The sequence below is a fragment of the Homo sapiens genome, chromosome 2, assembly GCF_000001405.40.
Source record: "Homo sapiens chromosome 2, GRCh38.p14 Primary Assembly".
Lineage (NCBI taxonomy): Eukaryota > Metazoa > Chordata > Mammalia > Primates > Hominidae > Homo > Homo sapiens.
Window position 1 is genome coordinate 26,743,755 of NC_000002.12, and position 20,387 is coordinate 26,764,141.

General features: G+C 46.4%; 8 annotated features.

Moving 5' to 3' along the window:
- Positions 6,291-7,038: an enhancer, noted in NCBI's record as "OCT4-NANOG-H3K27ac-H3K4me1 hESC enhancer chr2:26972913-26973660 (GRCh37/hg19 assembly coordinates)". NCBI's record gives its function as "activates a minimal SCP1, AML or CMV promoter by ChIP-STARR-seq in naive H9 embryonic stem cells {active_cell/tissue: H9 hESC(naive)}" and the evidence as "EXISTENCE:reporter gene assay evidence [ECO:0000049][PMID:30033119]".
- Positions 9,283-10,030: an enhancer, noted in NCBI's record as "H3K27ac-H3K4me1 hESC enhancer chr2:26975905-26976652 (GRCh37/hg19 assembly coordinates)". NCBI's record gives its function as "activates a minimal SCP1, AML or CMV promoter by ChIP-STARR-seq in primed H9 embryonic stem cells {active_cell/tissue: H9 hESC(primed)}" and the evidence as "EXISTENCE:reporter gene assay evidence [ECO:0000049][PMID:30033119]".
- Positions 10,031-10,778: an enhancer, noted in NCBI's record as "H3K27ac-H3K4me1 hESC enhancer chr2:26976653-26977400 (GRCh37/hg19 assembly coordinates)". NCBI's record gives its function as "activates a minimal SCP1, AML or CMV promoter by ChIP-STARR-seq in naive H9 embryonic stem cells {active_cell/tissue: H9 hESC(naive)}" and the evidence as "EXISTENCE:reporter gene assay evidence [ECO:0000049][PMID:30033119]".
- Positions 10,779-11,526: an enhancer, noted in NCBI's record as "H3K27ac-H3K4me1 hESC enhancer chr2:26977401-26978148 (GRCh37/hg19 assembly coordinates)". NCBI's record gives its function as "activates a minimal SCP1, AML or CMV promoter by ChIP-STARR-seq in naive H9 embryonic stem cells {active_cell/tissue: H9 hESC(naive)}" and the evidence as "EXISTENCE:reporter gene assay evidence [ECO:0000049][PMID:30033119]".
- Positions 14,519-15,266: an enhancer, noted in NCBI's record as "NANOG-H3K27ac-H3K4me1 hESC enhancer chr2:26981141-26981888 (GRCh37/hg19 assembly coordinates)". NCBI's record gives its function as "activates a minimal SCP1, AML or CMV promoter by ChIP-STARR-seq in primed H9 embryonic stem cells {active_cell/tissue: H9 hESC(primed)}" and the evidence as "EXISTENCE:reporter gene assay evidence [ECO:0000049][PMID:30033119]".
- Positions 14,682-14,741: an enhancer, noted in NCBI's record as "active region_15475". NCBI's record gives its function as "activates an Ori minimal core promoter by ATAC-STARR-seq in GM12878 lymphoblastoid cells {active_cell/tissue: GM12878}" and the evidence as "EXISTENCE:reporter gene assay evidence [ECO:0000049][PMID:35858748]".
- Positions 15,267-16,012: an enhancer, noted in NCBI's record as "NANOG-H3K27ac-H3K4me1 hESC enhancer chr2:26981889-26982634 (GRCh37/hg19 assembly coordinates)". NCBI's record gives its function as "activates a minimal SCP1, AML or CMV promoter by ChIP-STARR-seq in naive H9 embryonic stem cells {active_cell/tissue: H9 hESC(naive)}" and the evidence as "EXISTENCE:reporter gene assay evidence [ECO:0000049][PMID:30033119]".
- Positions 20,187-20,386: an enhancer, noted in NCBI's record as "active region_15476". NCBI's record gives its function as "activates an Ori minimal core promoter by ATAC-STARR-seq in GM12878 lymphoblastoid cells {active_cell/tissue: GM12878}" and the evidence as "EXISTENCE:reporter gene assay evidence [ECO:0000049][PMID:35858748]".

Here is a 20,387-nt window from a genome sequence, read left to right on the forward strand (position 1 = left end):
CAGGTGAGGCCCAAGTGGCTGAGTGACTTGTCTGAGGTCGCCCAGGAGGTAAGGAGCAGAGCTTGGACTGCAAATGCAATGTTCTCCCACTCCACCTCCTTCCCCTCAGACCTAGAGGCCGCCCTGCTACTGCTATTTGCTTTGGGATAGTGTTGCCCTACCTGCCTGCTCAGCCTGCACCCCTGAGGTAGGGCCCTGTGGCCCCTGAGCCAGCTCCCTCCCATCCATGCTCTGGGGTCTTTCCATGTCCTTGTCATCCCCCAGCCCCTGCTGGAGGGCTGAAGCAGCTGGAACTGCTTTTTCCCACCAGGCCTGTCAGGACCAAGTCACCAGACCTACTCTCTCGAGAATCACTGCGTAATGGCCACTGGGAATCTGCATTTTAACAGGAAAGTTCTGGAAGCACTGTTTTGGAGAAATAAAGACTGGGATCTGCTGCTCTCAGGAAAGACTTTAGTTCTGTTTTTGAGGAAGGAAAACCAATTTCCACTCTATTCCACTAGGGCCAAAGCCAGCTGATATGCCCCCTTGATGGAATTAACAAGGAGCCTCTTCCAGGAGGTACAACCTCATGTGGTGGGCAAAGAGCCCCTTTCCGTGGGGGGATAAAAAGATTTCCCTTCCTATAAGCACATAGTTCCAAGATTCCTTCAGCTGAGAAAGTGAGGAAGAAGTGCAGAGGCCTGAGGCAGACACTCCTCCCACTTGGTCACTTTCACTCCGGAGAAGAGTGTCCCACTGCAGCATTTATCCTGCCGGCACCCCTCCCCACTAACACCAATCTCTGCTCTGGAGAAAAGGTCGCTTTGCCCGGAGTCGCTAAAAATCACACATTAACAGCCCTAGTGGTTTCCAGCAGTTTCAATGCTGGCTTCAGCCAGAAATGTCTTAAAAAGGCCACCCGCTCTTTTTAATCCATAGCATTTATATTTTATAACATTTAAACAGAACCATTTTAAGGCAAAGATACATAGGACTTTCCTCACATGTCCACATAAAAAGGAAAAACCAGGAGATATCTATTAGGTTGGTGCAAAAGTAATTGCGGTGTTTGCCGTACATTAGACAACTAGGGAATTCTTTCTGAGCCCAGCAATGATCAGCTCCTACAGAGTACCGCTGCCTCACACGGGGGATCTCCCTCCTCCAAGAAGCCCTCGTGCCTACCCTCTGGGCTAGGAGCCTGGATATCAAGCCCCAAGAAAAGGTGTCCTCTGTAGAGGCAGCTTCCCCGTTACCCATAGACATAACAGCTACATTTACTGAGCTTTCTAATGTTTCAAGAACAAACACTATTAAAAGAATGACAATCAATATCACAGGTGACAGAATTACCCCATTTTACAGATGGGAACAAGCTCAGAGAGGTCAACAGACCTGCCCGCCCCTGATTCCACAGCCCATGCCCTTCATGGCTCTCTGCCCCAGCCAAGGCCTCCCCAGCTCACAGGGAGGCTGAAACCTCCTGCCAGCCTGCAGTCTTGCCAGCCTCTTACGCTAGGCCACCCTGCCCTCCTGGTTGAGGGCACTTGACTGTGTCCTCCACCATCTGACTCCTGGAGAAACTCAGCCCTCAGCACCTCTTTTTGTTTTATGCAGCTCCCTGAATCACACCCTTTTTGATGCTTTCTTTTTTTTTTTTAATAGAGATGGGGGTGCCAGGTGGGGTGGTTCATGCCTGTAATCTCAGAATTTTGGGAGGCGGAGGCGGGTGGATCACTTGAGGTCAGGAGTTTGAGACCAGCCTGGCCAACGTGGTGAAACCCCGTCTCTACTAAAAATACAAAAAAAAAATTAGCCGGGCATGGTGGCACAGGCCTGTAATCCCAGCTACCTGGGAGGCTTAGACAGGAGAATCCCTTGAACCCGGGAGGCAGAGGTTGCAGTGAGCCGGGATTGCACCACTGCACTCCAGCCTGGGCAAGGAGCAACACTTCGTCTCTAAATAAATAAATAGAGATAAGGGACTTGCTATATCACCCAGGCTGGTCTCTAACTCCTGGGCTCAAGCAATCCCCCTACCTCGGCCTCCCAAAGTGCTGGGATTACAGAAGTGACCTTTTTGATACTTTCAATATTAAAATTCCCTCCAGTGACACCCATCATTTGTAAAAGCTGGATGGGCCCAGCCTCATCTCACTTTGGAAGCAGGGTCAGAGCGCCATCTGGTGGCTGTCTAGTGAGCCTTGTATTGGCTGAGCAGCAGAATCAGAGCCTGAGATCTGGAAGGCCCCTAGGAGTCAGGTGGTCCAGCAGAGGTTCAGAGATGGGAAGTAACCCACCTAAAGGCACATGGCAAATTAGAATCCATCTCCAGGACCATAACCCAGCGTTTGGGCAATAAGACTGTGCTTTTCGAATTCCCCTGGTGTTTCGGAGAAGCTGCATATCTGGAGCCATATCTGATAGTTGTGAAGTGCAAGTAGAGACAGTCCTATTCTCAAGGTGCACCATCTTCCTGGCGTGGCATCCTTTATTCTGCTTATCATTTTGAATAGGTCAATTTACACATGGTATAAAATTCAAAAGGCACAAAAAGGATATGCAGTGAAAAGTGAGTCTCTCACACCCTAGCCCTCTACCACACAATTATCACTTTCCACATCTCCACCCAGAGATTTTCTCTATATTTACAAGTATAAAATATACATATATTTTAGCTTTTACATAAATAGTAGCATATCATACGCAAGGATTTTTCTTTTCTTTTTTTTTTTTAGACAGGATCTCACTCTGTCACCCAGCCTGGAGTGCATTGTAGTGGTGTGATCTTGGCTTACTGCAACCTCCAACTCCCAGGCTCAAGTAATCCTCTCACCTCAGCCTCCCAAGTAGCTGGGACTAAAAGTGCATGCCAGTATACCTGGCTAAATTTTGTGTTTTTTTGTAGAGACAGGATCTTGCCATGTTGCCTAGGCTGGTCTCGAACTCCTGCATTCAAGCGATCTGCCCACCGTGACTTCCCAAAGTGCTAGGATTACTGGCGTGAGCCACTGTGCCCGACCTTACATGGGGCTCTTAACAACACATCTTGGAGATCATTGTCCATCGCACATGAAGAGCATCGTCATTCCTTTGTAAAGCAATACTGTATTCCCTGCATGGCAGTACATGGAGGCGCCATAACGTATTTAACTACTCTTCTTTAGATGGAAATGTGGGTGGTTCCCAATTCATTGCTATGAAAAACACGTAGGGAAAACATGTTAGAATAAATTCCTGGAAGTGGAATTGCTACAATTATCAGTTTTCATTTTGGTCTCACAGACCAGAAAACCCAACATAATAAAAGTTTAATTATGTAAGGCCTCATTATCTCATAGCAAACAAGCCTAGAAGACAGTTCATGGGCACATGGTAGCTCCAGGCTGGGAGAAAGGATATGAATATGTTAACTGTATAGATATTACCAAATCGCCCTTCTCAGAGGCTGAACTGTCTTGATTTCCACCATCAGTGTACAGCGTTTCCTTACAGTCAGACCAAGAGCACATTATCATACTTTGTTTGAAATTTCCCAGCTGAACAGGTGAAAATGATACTCATTGGACTTTTATATCACTTTTGCAGGTTCAACCTCCCAGACTCAAGCAATCCTCCCACCTCAGACTCCCAAGTAGCTGGGACTACAGATACATGCCACCACACCCAGCTAATTTTGTTGATTTTTTTGTAGAGATACCCTTCTCACTTTGTTGCCTAAACTGGTCTCCTGGGCCCAAGCAATACTCCCATCTAAGCCTCCCAAAGTGCTAGGATTACAGGCATGAGCCACCATGCTCGGTCTTATATTTTTTTCTCTCTCTGTTTTTTTTTTTTCACAGGGTCTCACTTAGTTGCCCCAGCTGGAATGCAGTGGTGCAGTCTTAGCTTACTGCTGCCTCTGTCTCTTGGGTTCAAGTGATTCTCTTGCCTCAGCCTCCCTAGTAGCTAGCACTGCAGGTGTGTGTCGCCACACCCGGCTAATGTATTTCTCTTATTATGAGCACTGTTGAGCATCTTTCCTGGGCCTAAGAGGTACTTCTTTCCCCATGGATTGTCTCGTTATATTCATTGTCCATCTTGCTTTTGTGTTTTTGGCCTTGTTTGTATTGATTTTTTGTTAACAGCTTTATTAAGATACAGTCCACATACCATAAAATTCACCCATATGAAATGTACAATTCAGTGGTTTTAGTATGTTTACAGGGCTGTGCAACTGTCATCACAATCTAATTTTAGAACATTTTGTCTCCCTTTCAAAAGAAATCCAGTACCCATTAGCAATCACCCCCACCATGCATATACCATACACCTCCATGCCTCCCCCACCAAACACCCCCACACCTAAGCAATCACTAATCAACTCTCTGTCTCCATAGTTTTGCCTATTCTGAACATTTCATATAAATGGAATTATACAATATGTGGTCATTTGTGGCTGGCTTCTTTCACTTCACATAATGGCTTCAAGGTTCATCTGGCCGGGCAAAGTGGCTCATGCCTGTCATCCTAGCACTTTGGGAGGTTGAGGCAGGCAGGGCCTGAGCTCAGGAGTTACCAGCCTGGGCAACCCGGTGAAACCCCATCTCTACTAAAATGCAAAAAATTAGCTGGGCATGGCAGCATGCGCCTGTAGTCCCAGCTACTCAGGAGGCTAGGGGAAGAGAACTGCTTGAACCCGAAGGTGGAGGTTGCGGTGAGCCAAAATCGTGCCACTGCATTCCATCCTGGGCAGCAGAGCAAGACGCCATTTCCAAATAAATAAATAAATAAATAAATAAATAAAGTTTCATCTATGTTGTACCATGTATCAGTACTTCATTCTTTTTTATTGTTGCATGATGTTCCATTGTATGGCTACGCCATACAGACTTCTTCATATGTCAAGGAAATTCGACCTGTGTCTGTGGTGTGAACTGCAAATATTTTTCACAGATTGTCATATATCTTTTATTTATGCTTTTTTCCCCATGCAAGTTTTTTTTATCACACGCAGAAGACCTTTCCTACTCCAGAACTATTATAATGTCTTCAAAATGGCTCTTCCACATTCCTTTCTAGAGATTTCACAATTTAATTTTTTTATTCCAGTCACATCTTTTATCCAGCTGGAATTTATTTTGGTGTAAGGTAAAAGGTGGGAATCTAAACTTTTTTTTTTCCTTGAGACAGAGTCTTGCTCTGTCGCCCAAGCTGGAGTGCAGTGGCACAAACTCGGCTCACTGCAACCTCCGCCTCCCAGGTTCAAGCATCTCTCCTGCCTCAGCCTCCCGAGGAACTGGAATAGCTGGGACTACAGGCGCATGCCACCATGCCCAGCTAATTTTTGTATTTTAATAGAGATGGGGTTTCACTATGTTGTCCAGGCTGGTCTTGAACTCCTGACCTCAGGCCATCTGCCTGCCTCGGCCTCCCAAAGTGCTGGGATTACAGGCATGAGCCACCGCACCCAGCCTCTAAGCTTATTTTTCACAGATATCTACCCAGTTGTCCCAATAACATTTAAACAATCCCCACTGATTTGAAATGCCACATTTGTATTGTATTTATTAAATTTCTGCTTGTGTTAGGGTGCATTTCTGGACTTCCTATTCTTTCACGGTTACTCATCTGTCCATGGACCAGTACCACAACATAAAGATCTATAATGCTTAACTTTATATAATGGAAAATTTCAAATATGCAAAAAATTGGAGGACATAGTACAGTGAGCCTCCATGTACACATAGCTCAGCTTTAACAATCACTGGCCGGGCATGGTGGCTCATGCCTGTAACCCCAGCACTTTGGGAGGCCAAAGCAGGCAGATCATCTGAGGTGGGGAGTTTGAGACCAGCCTGGCCAACATGGTGAAACCCCGTCTCTACTGAAAATACAAAATTAGCTGAGTGTGGTGGCACGCGCCTGTAATCCCAGCTGCTTGGGAGGCTGAGTCAGGAGAATTGCTTGAACCCAGGAGGTAGAGGTTGCAGTGAGACTAGATCACGCCACTGCACTCCAGCCTGGGCATCAGAGCAAGACTACATCTAAAAAAAAAAAAAAAAAAAGGCAGAAAAACAACAAAAAAACCAATCATCAACTTTCTGCCATTTATGTCTTCTAAGGGCTTTTTTTCCCCTCTCTATTTTTGTGGGGAAAAGAGAGATCAGATTGTTACTGTGTCTGCGTAGAAAGAAGTAGACATAAGAGACTCCATTTTGTTCTGTACTAAGAAAAATTCTTCTGCCTTGAGATACTGTTAATCTGTAACCCTACCCCCAACCCTGTGCTCCCTGAGACATGTGCTGTGTCAACTCAGGGTTAAATGGATTAAGGGCTCTGCAGGATGTGCTTTGTTAAACAAATGCTTGAAGGCTGCATGCTTGTTAAGAGTCATCACCACTCCCTAACTTCCAATACCCAGAGACACGGTACACTGCTGAAGGCCGCAGGGACCTCTGCCTAGGAAAGCCAGGTATTGTCCAAGGTTTCTCTCCTTGTGATAGTCTGAAATATGGCCTCGTGGGAAGGGAAAGACCTGACCGTCCCCCAGCCCCACACCCGTAAAGGGTCTGTGCTGAGGAGGATTAGTAAAAGAGGAAGGAAGGCCTCTTTGCAGTTGAGATAAGAGGAAGGCATCTGTCTCCTGCTCGTCCCTGGGCAATGGAATATCTCAGTGTAAAGCCCGATTGTATATTCCATCTACTGAGATAGGGGAAAACCGCCTTAGGGCTGGAGGTGGGACATGCTGGCAGCAATACTGCTCTTTAAGGCATTGAGATGTTTATGTATATGCACATCAAAAGCACAGCACTTTTTTCTTTACCTTGTTTATGATGCAGAGACATTTGTTCACATGTTTACCTTCTGACCTTCTCTCCACTATTATCCTATTGTCCTGCCACGTCCCCCTCTCTGGGAAACGCCCAATAATGATCAATAAATACTAAGGGAACTCAGAGGCCGGGGCCGGCGCGGGTCCTCCATATGCTGAGCGCCGGTCTCCTGGGCCCATTTTTCTTTCTCTGTGTCTCTTTCTTTTTTGTCTCTCATTTTTTTGTCTCATTTTTTGTCTCTGTGTCTCTTTCTTTTCTAAGTCTCTCGTTTCACCTAACGAGAAACGCCCACAGGTGTGGAGGGGCAACCCATCCTTTCAATTTTCTTCTTTCATTCTTACTTTCTTTTTTTTTTTTTTTTTTTTTTTGAGACATGCTATCACTTTGTTGCCCAGGCTGGAGTGCCAGGGTCTCACTCTGTCACCTAGGATCATGCTTAACTGAGGCCTCAACCTCCCCAGGCTCTGGTGATTCTCCCACCTCAGCCTCCCAAGTAACTGGGACTACAGATCCGTGCCACCATGCCCGGCTAATCTTTGTTTTGCTTTTGTAGAGATGGGGTTTTGCCATGTTGCCCAGGCTGGTCTGGAACTCCTGGACTCAAGCGATCTTCCCACCTAAGCCTCCTGAAGTGCTAGGATTTCAGACATGAGCTCTGTGCCTGGTCTAGAGGATTTTAAAGCAAATAATTTCACCTATAATCAGTTCACTCTCTAACAGCTAAGGACTTTTTTCAAAAACTGTAATCACGATACCTCATCACAACTGTGGTAAGAAGAATGATGGCCTCCTGAAGATGCCCACGCCTTAATTCCCAAAGCCCAGGAATAAGTTGCCTAATGTGATGAAAGGGACTTTTCAGATATAGATCTTAAGATGGGCAGAGTATTCGGGATAACCCAGGTAGTGCCAATGTAATCACAAAGGTTCTGTGGAGGCAAGAGGGTCAGAGTCAGAGGAGATGTGACTAGAGAAGCAAAGGTCAGAGTGATGTGGGGCCAGCAGCCAAGGAATGCAGGCGGCCTCTTGAAGCTGGAAAAGGCAGGGAAATGGATGCTCCCCTAGGGCCTCCAGAAGAAGCACAGTTCAGCCAATACATTGATGTTAGTCCAGTGACTGAATTTCAGACTTCTACCCACCAGAATTGTATGATAATAAGTTTCTGTTGCTGGAAGTCACTCACTCTGTTTGTGGTAATTATAGCAGCAACAGGAAGCTAATACAACCAATAAAACTAGCGAGAGAACTTGTTCTATAGATCATTTTTACTTTCTCCCAAAAGTTCAAAAAAATCTTTTTTTTTTTTGTGAGGTGGGGGTCTCACTCTACTGCCCAGGCTGGAGTACAGTGGCACGATCATGGCTCACTGCAGCCTCAACCTCTCCAGGCTCAGGTGATCCTCCCACCTCAGCCTGGGACTACAGGCACGTGCCACCATGCCCAGCTAATTTTTTATCTTTTGTAGAGATGGGGTTTCACCACGTTGCCCAGGCTGGTTTGGAACTCCTGGACTCAAGTGATCCTCCTGCCTCGGCCTCCCAAAGTGCTAGGATTACAGACGTGAGCCATCACGCCTGGCCAAAAATATCTTTTTACAGTTCATTGGTTCATAAGTTGTATTACTTTAAATGTAATTAAGCATTTGTAGGGCCAGTGAATTTTTTTATTACTATCAGGTTTAAACTAGTTCATATAAATCTAAGCCAAATAAATAAATACAGGGAGTTGACTAGCTCACAGTCATTTGCTATTGACCTGAGCAAGTCACCTTCTTTCTGGGCCTGGGTTTTCTATTCTGAAAAGCGGGGGGTTGGATAAGAAGTTATGTCAGGGGCAATCCACGCCTGGGCTTCATGAGACCTGGGAATACCCTGAAACTGTATGCAAAAGAGGAAAGTGTTCTCAATCTGTCTGTGCTCCGAATTTTCTAGATGTGTGTTAAATACAGGGCTGGGTGCAGTGGCTCACATCTGTAATCCCAGCACTTTGTGAGGCCAAAGGACAAGGATCATTTGAGCTCAGGAGTTCAAGACCAGCTTGGGCAACATAGCAACACCCTGTCTCTATTTTTTTAAAAATAACACATTTTTTAAAAAATTAAAAAAAGAGAATGGTGTTAAATACAGGAACCTAGGCTTCCCTAGGGTGAAGGCCATGTCCAAGGGGGCTGGTATCAATTTAGAGATGTAACTGAGTCAGAGGGAGAAAATATCGTAAGCTTAGTCAACAGCATATTAGAAAGGAAAATGTGCCTGAGATGCACTAATTCAATTAGCTGTTGTCATAGTCACTGTCTCTGAGCAAGGGCTCTGAGCTGGATGCCAGACCAGCAGGGTGCCAGACTGAGAAATGAAATGCAGGATACATATCTAATTTGAATTTTAGACAAATAATGAATCATTTTTTACTCTAAGCGTAACTGTAATAGGTTAATTGCCTGACACTCCTGTCAAATCAATACACCCAGACACGGGGTTGCAGCAGAGAAAGAGGTTTAATACAGGTCCACTGAGAAGACAGGGAGGAAACTTCAAATCTATCTCCCCAGGGAGTCAGGGGCTGGGGGTTTTTTGTTGTTTGTTTTTTGTTTTTTTTGAGACAGGGTCTCTCTCTGTTACCCAGGCTGGAGTGCAGTGGCGCAAAAATGGCTCGCTGGAGCTCGACCTCCTGGGCTCAAACAATCCTCTGCCTCAGCCTCCCATACAGCTAGTATCACAGGCGTGTGCCCATGCCTGGTTAAAATTTTTTTTTTTTTAATAGAGACAGGGTCTCACTTTGTTGCCTAGACTGGTCTCCTGGGCTCAAGCAATCCTCCCACCTTGGCCTCCCAAAGTGCTGGGATTTCAGGTGTAAGCCACTTCGCCTGGCCTGGGGCTAGGGTTTTTAAGGGTTTTGGAGAGGGCTGAAGTGGGGAGATCGTTGATTAGGCAAAGAGTGCATGAAGTCATGGGACAAGGAAATGAAGAAACTATTCTTATGTTGCTTTCATTCCTCTGTGGAGGTCTTCAAACTGGTTGGCATCAGCTGTTTCACTGGAATTCAGGGACCTGAAAAACATCTTAAGCAATTCTTAAACAAAACCCTTATGATTCTTTTTTTTTTTTTTTTTGAGATGGTCTCACTCTGTTGCCCAGGCTGGAGTGCAGTGGCACAATCATGGCTCACTATAGCTTCAACCTCCCCAGGCTCAGGTGATGCTCCTACCTTAGCCTCCCGAATAGCTAGGACTATAGGCACAAATCCACCACACCTGGCTATTTTTTGTATTTTTTGTAGAGACGGGGTTTTGTCACGTTGGCCAGGTTGGTCACTGAGTTCAAACGATCCACCTGCCTCAGCCTCCCAAAATGCTGGGATCACAGGCCCAGCCAAGCCTTATGATTCTAATGTCAGAGATCCAATCTAAAGGAACAATGGGGATTCAAGTGGTCAGTATCTAGTGCTATGCGACTTTCTGTTACAAGGAAGTGGGTGAAAGTGCAGCCTCATTATGCTTAATTATAACTATATTTCTGTCCAAGATTCTTGTTAAGCCTGTGAGGACAGCTTCATAAGTATGTCCTAAACACTAGGGACATACTCATACTACAAAGTGACTCATTGCTTATCTGAAATCAAATTTACCTGGGAGTTTCTGTTTTATCTGAATCTGACTTGATCCTGCTCTTAGAGGACCAAGCTTCCAGAATCTAATGACCACCTCAAAATTAGTGATCAGGGCTGGTCGTGGTGGCTCACACCTGTAATCCCAACACTTCAGGGGGCCGAAGCGGGTAGATCACCTGAGGTCAGGAGTTCGAGACCAGCCTAGCCAACATGGTGAAACTGCATCTCTACTAAAAAGACAAAAATTAGCCAGGCATGGTGGCAGTCACCTGTAGTCCCAGCTACTCGGGAGGCTGAGGCAGGATAATTGCTTGAACCTGGGAGGCAGAGGTTGTAGTGAGCCGAGTTCGTATCACTGCACTCCAATCTGGGTAACAGAGTGAGACCTTGTTTCAAAAAAAAAAAGATTAGTGATCAGCACTGATGGGGGTGAGAGGTGGGAGCGGGGAGGTGGGTAGAGACCAAAGGAGATGATAAGAAAGAAAACAGAGGCCAGATGTAGTGGCTCATGCCTGTAATCCTAGCACTTTGAGAGGCCAAGACCTTGAGGTCAGGAGTTTGAGACCAGCATGGCCAACATGATGATGAAACCCTGTCTTTACTACAAATCCAAAAGTTAGCCAGGCTTGGTGGTGCACGCGTGTAATCCCAGCTACTTGGGAGGCTAAGGCAGGAGAATTGCTTGAACCCAGGAGGTGGAGGTTGCAGTAAGTCGAGATTGTGCCACTGTACTCCAGCCTGGGTGATAGAGAAAGACTCCATCTAAAAAAAAAAATTAAATTAAAAAAGAAAGAAAAAAGAGAAGGTTTGAGAATGACTTTAGGAGGGCCTGCAGCTAGAAGGAGCAGGTGAGTTATAATCTGATCATCTCTGGTCACCATAGAAACCAGCTGTAAATTCAGCCAGAATGAGCTGATGAGCTCCAATATCTATGCCTCTCTGCCAGTGTAGACAGTCCACACTCCCTTCCTCCAAGATCTAGTCTTGTCAGACCTGCTTCCAGCCGGAATCCACCCCAGTCCTCTTCCTCTCAAGCCTCTTGTTCCTCTTTCTAGCCACAGTTCCAGGTGACTGCCCATCAATACCAACCCCGCTGGGAGAGACAGGCAGCAAGATACCCAGTCCTTGCCCAGGAGGAAGTCACATTCTAGCCAGGGAGTAGACTACACTGGAGAGAAATGGCCCAAGGATACACAGCAAAAGCTTGTTTAAAGAAAAAACAAAAGCAGGTGTGACCTGGCTTGTCTGCCCGCATCTTTCTGTCCTTTCCAGGGTAAAGCAACTCTCTCTTAATCCAGAATGTAATTACATTGATTGGGAAAGCATTCAGTCTTTCAGACAAGCCACATGCTGGCAGTAAGCATTGAATACAAATGCAGGGTTTGCAGTGACTGGAAGTTAGAGCCTGCTTGCAGGTAGCATGCAAATGTGTTCAAAATGTCCCCAACTTTGGGAGAAAAGGCTGGAAGTCTGGATCAAACTCGTATGCAAACCATGAGGAGTGCTTTTGAAGGCACAGCGGGCTAAGGGCTTTCTCCATACCCCCTATCTTGTGGGCTCTGGTCTTACAGCAGCTGTAGTAATTCTCCCCAGCAGGGCTTGCACTGCACTTCCACATCTGTCCTCTCTCTACACAAGCTATGAATGTCATTTCCATTTTACAGATAGGAAAGTGGGGCTCTGAGTGCTTCAGTGACCCAAACATTGTCACCTTGCTTAAAGTGGCAAACCCAGCCAGAGCCCTCCTCTCGCTTTTCCCTAGTTAGGGACAACTTGCGTAGGTGTCCTTGCATGTCTGAAGATTCTGCATTCTTAGGGATACATGAAGAAACTCCTATGTCCTCCCACCACCCCATTCACACTTGAGGATTCTGTGGCAGGTGCGCACTTAACAGTAAAATTCCTTCCTTTGCTAAAAATTTGCTGAATTCGCTCCCTTTCATGATCTGTAACTTTACATAAGCTGTTGTCTTTTATCAGCTTTAACAGATCAAATGTGAGCAATCGTCTGGGTGTGGTGGCTCACGCCTGTAATCCCAGCACTTTGGGAGACTGAGGTGGGTGGATCACCTGAGGTCAGGAGTTCAAGACCAGCCTGGCCAACATGGTGAAACCCCGTCTCTACTAAAAATACAAAAATTAGCTGGTGGCGGGTGACTGTAATCCCAGCTACTCAGGAGGCTGAGGCAGGAGAATTGCTTGAACCCGAGAGGTGGAGGTTGCAGTGAGCCGAGATTGCCCCACTGCACTCCAGCCTGGGCAACAGAGAAAGACTTCCTCTCAAAAAAAAAAAAAAAAAAGTGAGCAATCAGGAGACAATTGTTCTTCTGATGGCTGAGGTCACCATACAACCAAGGCTGACTGACGTTTCACTTTCTAAAGACTCAGAAAAGGAAGGAGAACCGTGTCCCACCTCACCCTAGCCCTTGTCTTCACTGACTGCAGGCCGCAGCCACCAGTTGGTTTCTCTGGGCTGTGTCCTCAAAGATACCAGGAATGCAGAAGGGTGGAGATACAGGCCAAGTGTTAACATTTGTGCTGGTTTGCAGATATAGTATTTTACCCAGGAAATCAGGGCTTACAAAAATATGAGGCAAATTTTTATCCAACGTACAGGTTAAGTTCTATCCCTAAATTCCATCAAATAATAATCTGATGTGTGAAAATTAGTAATTCAAAATTTACTACGCTGTTGGAACTTTAACATATATTGAGCCTTAAGGGAATATGATTATGAGGCCTGGGTCACATGACAGGCAGCTGTAACCTCTGTTTCTCCGATTAGATTAGCTTTTTTCCTTACCTACATTGTTTTGTAAAATGTAAATGACTGAAGGGTGCCAAGGAAGACCCCCTTGCTTCACTGTTGATCTTCATTACAGATTAACTTTTTTTTTTTTGAGACCAAGTCTCGCCCTATTGCCCAGGCTGGAGTGCAGTGGTGCGATCTCAGCTCACTGCAACCTCCGCCCCTGGGTCCAAGTGATTCTCATGTTTCAGCCTCCCAAGTAGCTGGGATTACAGGCACCCGCCACCATGCCTGGCTAATTTTTGTATTTTTTAGCAGAGACAAAGTTTCACCATGTTGGCCAGGCTGGTCTCAAACTCCTGACCTCAAGTGATCCACCCACCTTGGCCTCCCAAAGTGCTGGGATTACAGGCGTGAGCCACCGTGCCCGGCCATTACAGATTAACTTTCTATACAAAGACTTCATGACTATCACGTTGTCTAAGATGGGATGTTAAATACACTCCTCTCAATTGGAAAGGAAATAAAAAGTTGTAAAGAAAACAAGCTCTATGGAAAAGAAAAACTAACTGTTGTAACTCATAAACAAGCCTGTTGCAGAAAATGTTATAATCCTACTAAATGTATTTGTTTCCTGCCTATATAAGCTAAACCTTAACTTTTTTGGTTTTCCCCCAAGCCGACCAGGATGAGAAAGACCTTAACTTTCAACTTTGGAGCACTGGCCCCATTTCTCTGGTGCCTGTGTTTCTCAGGTGGTTACTCCCAGCTTTTCACTTGCATAAACTATTTAAAATTGAATTCTGAACCTTTTGATTATTTCAGGTGGATAGATAGATTTTGCAAAGCCTATGCATGTACATATTCACCCTAATTCTGTTACCGGAAAGGGGTCCCAATCCAGACCCCAAGAGAGGGTTTTTGGATCTCGAGCAAGACACAAGAATTCAAGGTGAAGCCACAGAGTAAAGTGAAAGCAAGTTTATTAAGAAAGTAAAAGAATAAAAGAAAGGCTAATCCATAGGCAGAGCAGTGGCATGGGCTGCTTGACTGAGTATACTTATAGTTATTTCTTGATTATATGCTAAACAAAGGGTGGATTATTCATGAACTTTCCAGGAAAGGGGCGGGGATTTCCTGGAAGTGAGTGTTCCTCCCCCTTTCTGACCATAGGTCACTCTTGTTGCCATCTTGGTTTTGGTGGGTTTTGGCCGGCTTCTTTACTGCATCCTGTTTCATCAGCAAGGTCTTTGTGACCTGTATCTCATGCCAACCTCCTGACTCATCCTGTAACTAAGAATGCTTAACCTCCTGGGAATGCAGCCTAGTAGGTCTCAGTCTTATTTTACCCAGCCCCTATTCAAGATAGAGTTGCTCTCGTTCAAATGCTTCTGACGATTCCTCTGTATTTTTTTCAGAATTCCTGTCTCTTTGGGCCCTGATACCTTAGCCTGGGGCTCACTGCTACCTGGAAGCACTAATGCAATCCTAGTTTTCTCCCCTAAAGCCCATTCTAGCCAGGTGGCAGGGACGTGGAGCCTCACTGTAGGTCACACCCTGGCGTGAAGGGCTGATCAGCCACCCCATGGTGTCCACATGGTTGTCTCTGCCTGGGGTGACCCTGCTTTCTGCACCTGGAGCAATCCTGCTCCTCCTTCAAGTCCCTACTCAGGTCTCCTCTGAATTCCAGTTCTACAGGGCTACTGTGAAAACCAAGGCCACAGAGGTCAAGCTTCAGGCACAGGCCTGACACAGGGCACCTGGTCCAGGACAGCTCTGATTGTCACTGTTGTCCCCTCTCCTTGCCCACTCCCTTAGGTAATCCATCCCTCCCTCAACCCCCTCTGTCTCTTACACATTCTCACATTGCTGCATGGTTAATGCAGTGTTGACCCCTCTCCTCCAATGAATCTCAAATTCCTTAAGGGCAGTGACCTTGTCTTGCTTCCTTAGGACCCCATATCTGGCTCTAGGCCTTAAACTTAGTGGACTCCACGGATATTTGCCAATAAACTCTGTCTCCTGGGATCCACAGACAGCAGTTTGATGAATGGTCAGGACATTGTGATAAATTAAAATTCATTGTTTGATGTGGCTATCGACACAGACAGAGACTGTGCTGCTAGTGACATCATGTCGGTCTGGTAATTAATAATGATCATTAGTAACGTTTACTTCAGGACAGTGCCCTTGGCCTGGACGTGTGGGGAAAATGGTCCAGAGCCTCACCGACTGAGTCACTGTGCCCTGTAGGAACGGCCTCTGATAGGGATGAGTGCCTGCTGCTGTGGGCTGCCCCAGTCTGCCCCTTGGGACAGAAGCTGTGTTTTATTCATCCTACATCTCAATAAACATTTTTTGATAAATCAATGAACTCCTTTGAAATCACACAAAACTAGAGGTGTTGTTGGAGACAAGCGGTTCAGAAGAGACCAGGCATTGTGGCTCAAGCCTGTAATCCCTGCACTTTGAGAGGCCAAGGTGGGTGGATCACCTGAGGTCAGGAGTTTGAGACCAGCCTGGCCAACACAGTAAAACCCTGTCTCTACTAAAAATACAAAAATTAGCTGGGTGTGGTGGTGTACGCCTGTACTCCCAGCTACTTGGGAGGGTGAGGCAGGAGAAGCCTGGGCAACAGAGCAAGACTCCATCTCAAAAAAAAAAAAGTTCAGAAGAAACCTCTTCTGGGTCTTCCAACTCCGCACTGACTGAAAGGAGAAGAGGCTCCAATTAAAGAAAATTCTAGAACATTCTGTGGGTCCCAGGCTTGTTCCACACTCACACCTCTGCACCGCTGTACATGCCATGTCCATCTGCAAGAAAGCCCTTCTGCTGTCTATCTGGGGACCTCCTATGTTTTTTCCAGGATCCCACTTATACACCTTCTCCAGCAGGTCTTCCTGCAATAAGGGAGTCTGGTGCAGCCCCTTGAGAGTTCTGCGTCCACTCTGGCCTTTTTCACAAGTTCGAGGCTGTCTTAGGGCAAGTAGGAGGAGTTGGCAGACAGGTCCTATCTCTGTACCTCTTGTTGATCTATTTGTTTAATTTAAAAAATTTGTGTGTGTGTGAGATAGGGTCTTGCTCTGTTGCCCAGGCTGAAGTGCAGGGGCATGACCACGGTTTACTGCAGCCTCAAAGTCCTGTGCTCAAGCAATCCTCCTGCCTCAGCTTCTCCAGTAACTGGGCTCACAGGCCCGCACTACCACCCCTGACTAATTTTTAAGTGTTTTTGTAGAGATGAGGGTCTGGCTATGTTGCCCAAGCTGCTCTCAAATTCCTGGGATTAGGAGGCCTCAGCCTCCCAAAGTGCTAGGATAACAGGTGTGAGCCACCACACGGGCCACCTCCTGTTCATCTAAAATGAAGTTGCTAGCCATCTGGGCGTGGTGGCTTACACCTGTAATCCCAACACTTTGGGAGGCCAAGGTGGGTGGATCACTTGAGGTCAGGAGTTCAAGACCAGCCTGGCCAACACGGTGAAACCCCATCTCGACTATAAATACAAAAAATGTAGCTGGGCATGGTGGTGCTCACCTGTAATCCCAGCTACTCGGGAGGCTGAGGCAGGGGAATTGCTTGAACCTGGGAGGCAGAAGTTGTAGTGAGCCAAGAATGTGCCACTGCACTCCAGACTGGACGACAGAGCACCACTTCATCTTAAAAAAAACAAGAAGGTGCCAAGGCACAAAATATAAGTTAAACAGTTTACTTGAGCCAAAATGAGGACAGCTGCCCAAAAGACTCAGACGCAAGTAATCTTGGATGTGAGCTCCCTTCTCTCTTTGTTACAAACAGGTTTTTAAAGGCAGAAAAAGGAGGACAGGGAGTGGGCTGATACAAAGTTGTTTGTCAGAAATTCTCATTGGTTTACAGAAATAACATTGATTAGTGATTGGCTGTACAGTGCTATAGGATGTAAGATATGGTGTCCAGTGCAGCATTGTTAGGTTATAGCTACCTGTGGCAATAGCAAGCAGTTTCAAGACATAAATACATAACTCAAAGTGGGAGTAGGACGTGATTGCTGTCTTATTTTAATGTCTCTCTGGGCCTGATAACTTACAGGACTCGCATTCCTCAGGTAAAAGTTCTTTTCTCACCACAGAAACAAGATCTGCAGCATAGGGGAAGTGTGTTGGCTCGGTCTGAAGTCGTTTTCCAAAGTGTCAGAGACATTTAAATCAGAGCAACTCCATCTTGAACAGGGGCTGGGTAAAACGAGGCTGAGACCTACTGGGCTGCATTCCCAGGAGGTTAGGCATTCTAAGTCACAGGTCGAGATAGGAAGTGGGCACAAGGTACAGGTCACAAAGACCTTGCTGATAAAACAGGATGCAGTAAAGAAGCCGGCCAAAACCCACCAAAACCAAGATGGCGACAAAAGTGACCTCTGGTTTTTCTCACTGCTTGTTATACACTATTTATAATGCATTAGCATGCTAAAAGACACTCGCACCAGCGCGCGACAGTTTACAGATGCCATGGTAGCAACTGGAAGTTAACCTACATGGTCTAAAAAGGGGAGGAACACTTAGTTCTGGCAATTGCCCACCCCTTTCCCAGAAAACTCATGAATAATCCACCCCTTGTTTGGCATATAATCCAGAAATATCCATAAAAATAACCAATCAGCAGCCCTCGGGGCTGCTCTGCCAATGGAGTAGCCATTCTTTATCCTTTACTTTCTTAATAAACTTGTTTTCACTTTATGGATTCCCCGCAAGGTGCCAGGTCCAAGAACCCTCTCTTGAGGTCTGGATCAGAACCCCTTTCTGGTAACAAAAGGATCTTGTCGCTGGCGTGACAGGGCATGGGTGCAGACTAGAGCACTGGGAAAGGCATATTAGGAGCAGTTTTTTCTTTTCTTTTTCTTTCTTTTTTTTTTTTTTTTTGAGATGGAGTTTTCGCGCTTGTTGCCCAGGCTGGAGTGCAATGGCTCGATCTTGGCTCACTGCAACTTCCATCTCCCAGGTTCAAGCGATTCTCCTGCCTCAGCCTCCGGAGTAGCTGAGATTACAAGCATGCACCCCCACACCTGGCTAATTTTTTGTATTTTAGTAGAGATGGGGTTTCACCATGTTGGTCAGGCTGATCTTGAATTCCGACCTCAGGTGATCCACCTGCCTCAGCCTCCCAAAGTGCTGGGATTACAGGTGCGAGCCACCGCGCCTGGCCTTTTTTTTTTCTTTTTTTAAGACAGGGTGTCACTTTGCCACCCAGGCCGGAGTATAGTGGCATGATCTCAGTTCATTGCAACCTCCACCTCCAGGGACTCAAGCGATCCTCCTACTTAGCCTCCTGAGTAGCTGGGATTATGGGTACTTGTCATGACACTCAGCTAATTTTTGCATTTTTAGTAGAGACTGAGTTTTGCCATGTTGCCCAGGCTTGTCTGGAAATCCTGAGCTCAAGCAATCAGCCCGCTTCAGCCTCCCAAAGTGCTAGGATTATAGGTGTGAACCACCACACCCAGCCAAGAGTAGGATTTTAAACACCAGAACCCCTTGAGGACTAAGCTCTGATTTTTTTTACCTTGCCCAAATTCCTACCTAAGAGGTCTGGAGAGTCATGCCCTACAAACCATAAATTCTCATCAGATGGGTTTTATTTAACCCTATATATCATGACTTACTTTCCAATCTGACTCTGGCATAATATTATGTGACTAAGAAGAAAGTCAAAAGATTTTACCCCAAAACATTTTTCTTTGCCATATCTTGAAATGGCCCTGCAAATCTGTCTTTTGTGGGGGAAAATTTGCATCTGTAAAGAATCTCTATTACCGGCCGGGCGTGGCGGATCACGCCTGTAATCCCAGCACTTTGGGAGGCCGAGGCAGGTGGATCAGGAGTTCAAGACCAGCCTGGCCAACATGGTGAGACCCCCCCCATCTCTACTAGAAATACAAAATTTAGCCAGGCGTGGTGGCAGGCACCTGTAGTCCCAGCTACTTGGGAGGCTGAGGCAGAGAACTGATTGAATCCGGGAGGTGGAGGTTGCAGTGAGCCGAGATCGCACCACTGCACTCCAGCCTGGGCGACAGAGCAAGACTCCGTCTCAAAAAAAAACAAAAATCTCTATTAACATAGATAGATATTTTTCCCGTTTCCTGCCCCACCCTCTCCCCTCCTCCCGGCTTTGAGTTGTCCTACCTTTCTGGACCAAACCAATGTATTTCTTAAATGTATTTGATTGATGTCTCGTGTCTTTCTAAAATGCTGCGCCCCGACCACTTTGGGCACATGTTCTCAGGACCTCCTGAGGGCTGTGTCACGGGCCATGGTCACAAATATTTGGCTCAGAATAAATCCCTTCAAATATTTTAGAGTGTGACTCTTCGTCAACACCCTCTTCAAACAAACCTAGGGATGGTCTTTCTGCCTGGATGCCTCAGCTGCGACCAGAAAGTCCACAAAGGAGCAGTGAAGCAGGGCTTGGTGCAGAGGCCATGCGGAAGGCACGGATTTTTGGAGACTGGAGAACCCAAGCGCAAATCCCTACCCCACTGCTCACCAGCAGGTTCTTAAGCAAATCACTCTGCTTCGCTGAATTTACTGTCCTCAGCTATAAAATGGTGTCCTCGGCAACTGGAGCTAGATGCCTTCGCCACTTTGCTGAAAGATATGAACTGTGCCCAAGGTGGGCGGTATCAGATAGGAGCCCCGAAGTGGAAACGTCCAGCGTGGGAATCTCCTCTCTACAGGGTCCCCAAGGAACTCCCGGCAGGCCCACTTCAGGGCTCCTTTCTGACACCGCCCAGCTCAACCTCTCAAAACGATTCACAAAATGCTGTAATAGCCACGATGCACCCTCACTGCACTGTCCCATCCGCCCCTTTTACAAATAGGAAGACCCAAAGATAAAAATAAGAAACCAAGGCCAGGCGCGGTGGTTCACGCCTGTAATCCCAATACTTTGGGATGCGGAGGAGGGCGGATCACCTGAGGTCGGGAGTTCGAGACCAGCCTGGCCAACATGGTGAAGCCCTGTCTCTACTAAAAATACAAAAAATTAGCCGGGCGTGGTGAAGGGCGCCTGTAATCCGAGCTACTCGGGAGGCTGAAGCAGGAGAATCGCTTGAACCCAGGAGGCGGATATTGCAGTGAGCCGAGATCATGCCATTGCACTCCAGCCTGGGCGACAGAGTGAGACTCCTTCTCAAAAAAATAGAAAAAAGAAACCCAAAAAGGCGGGGGAGAGTGAGGAAGAAAAGAAAAAAAAAACTGGAAGGCCTG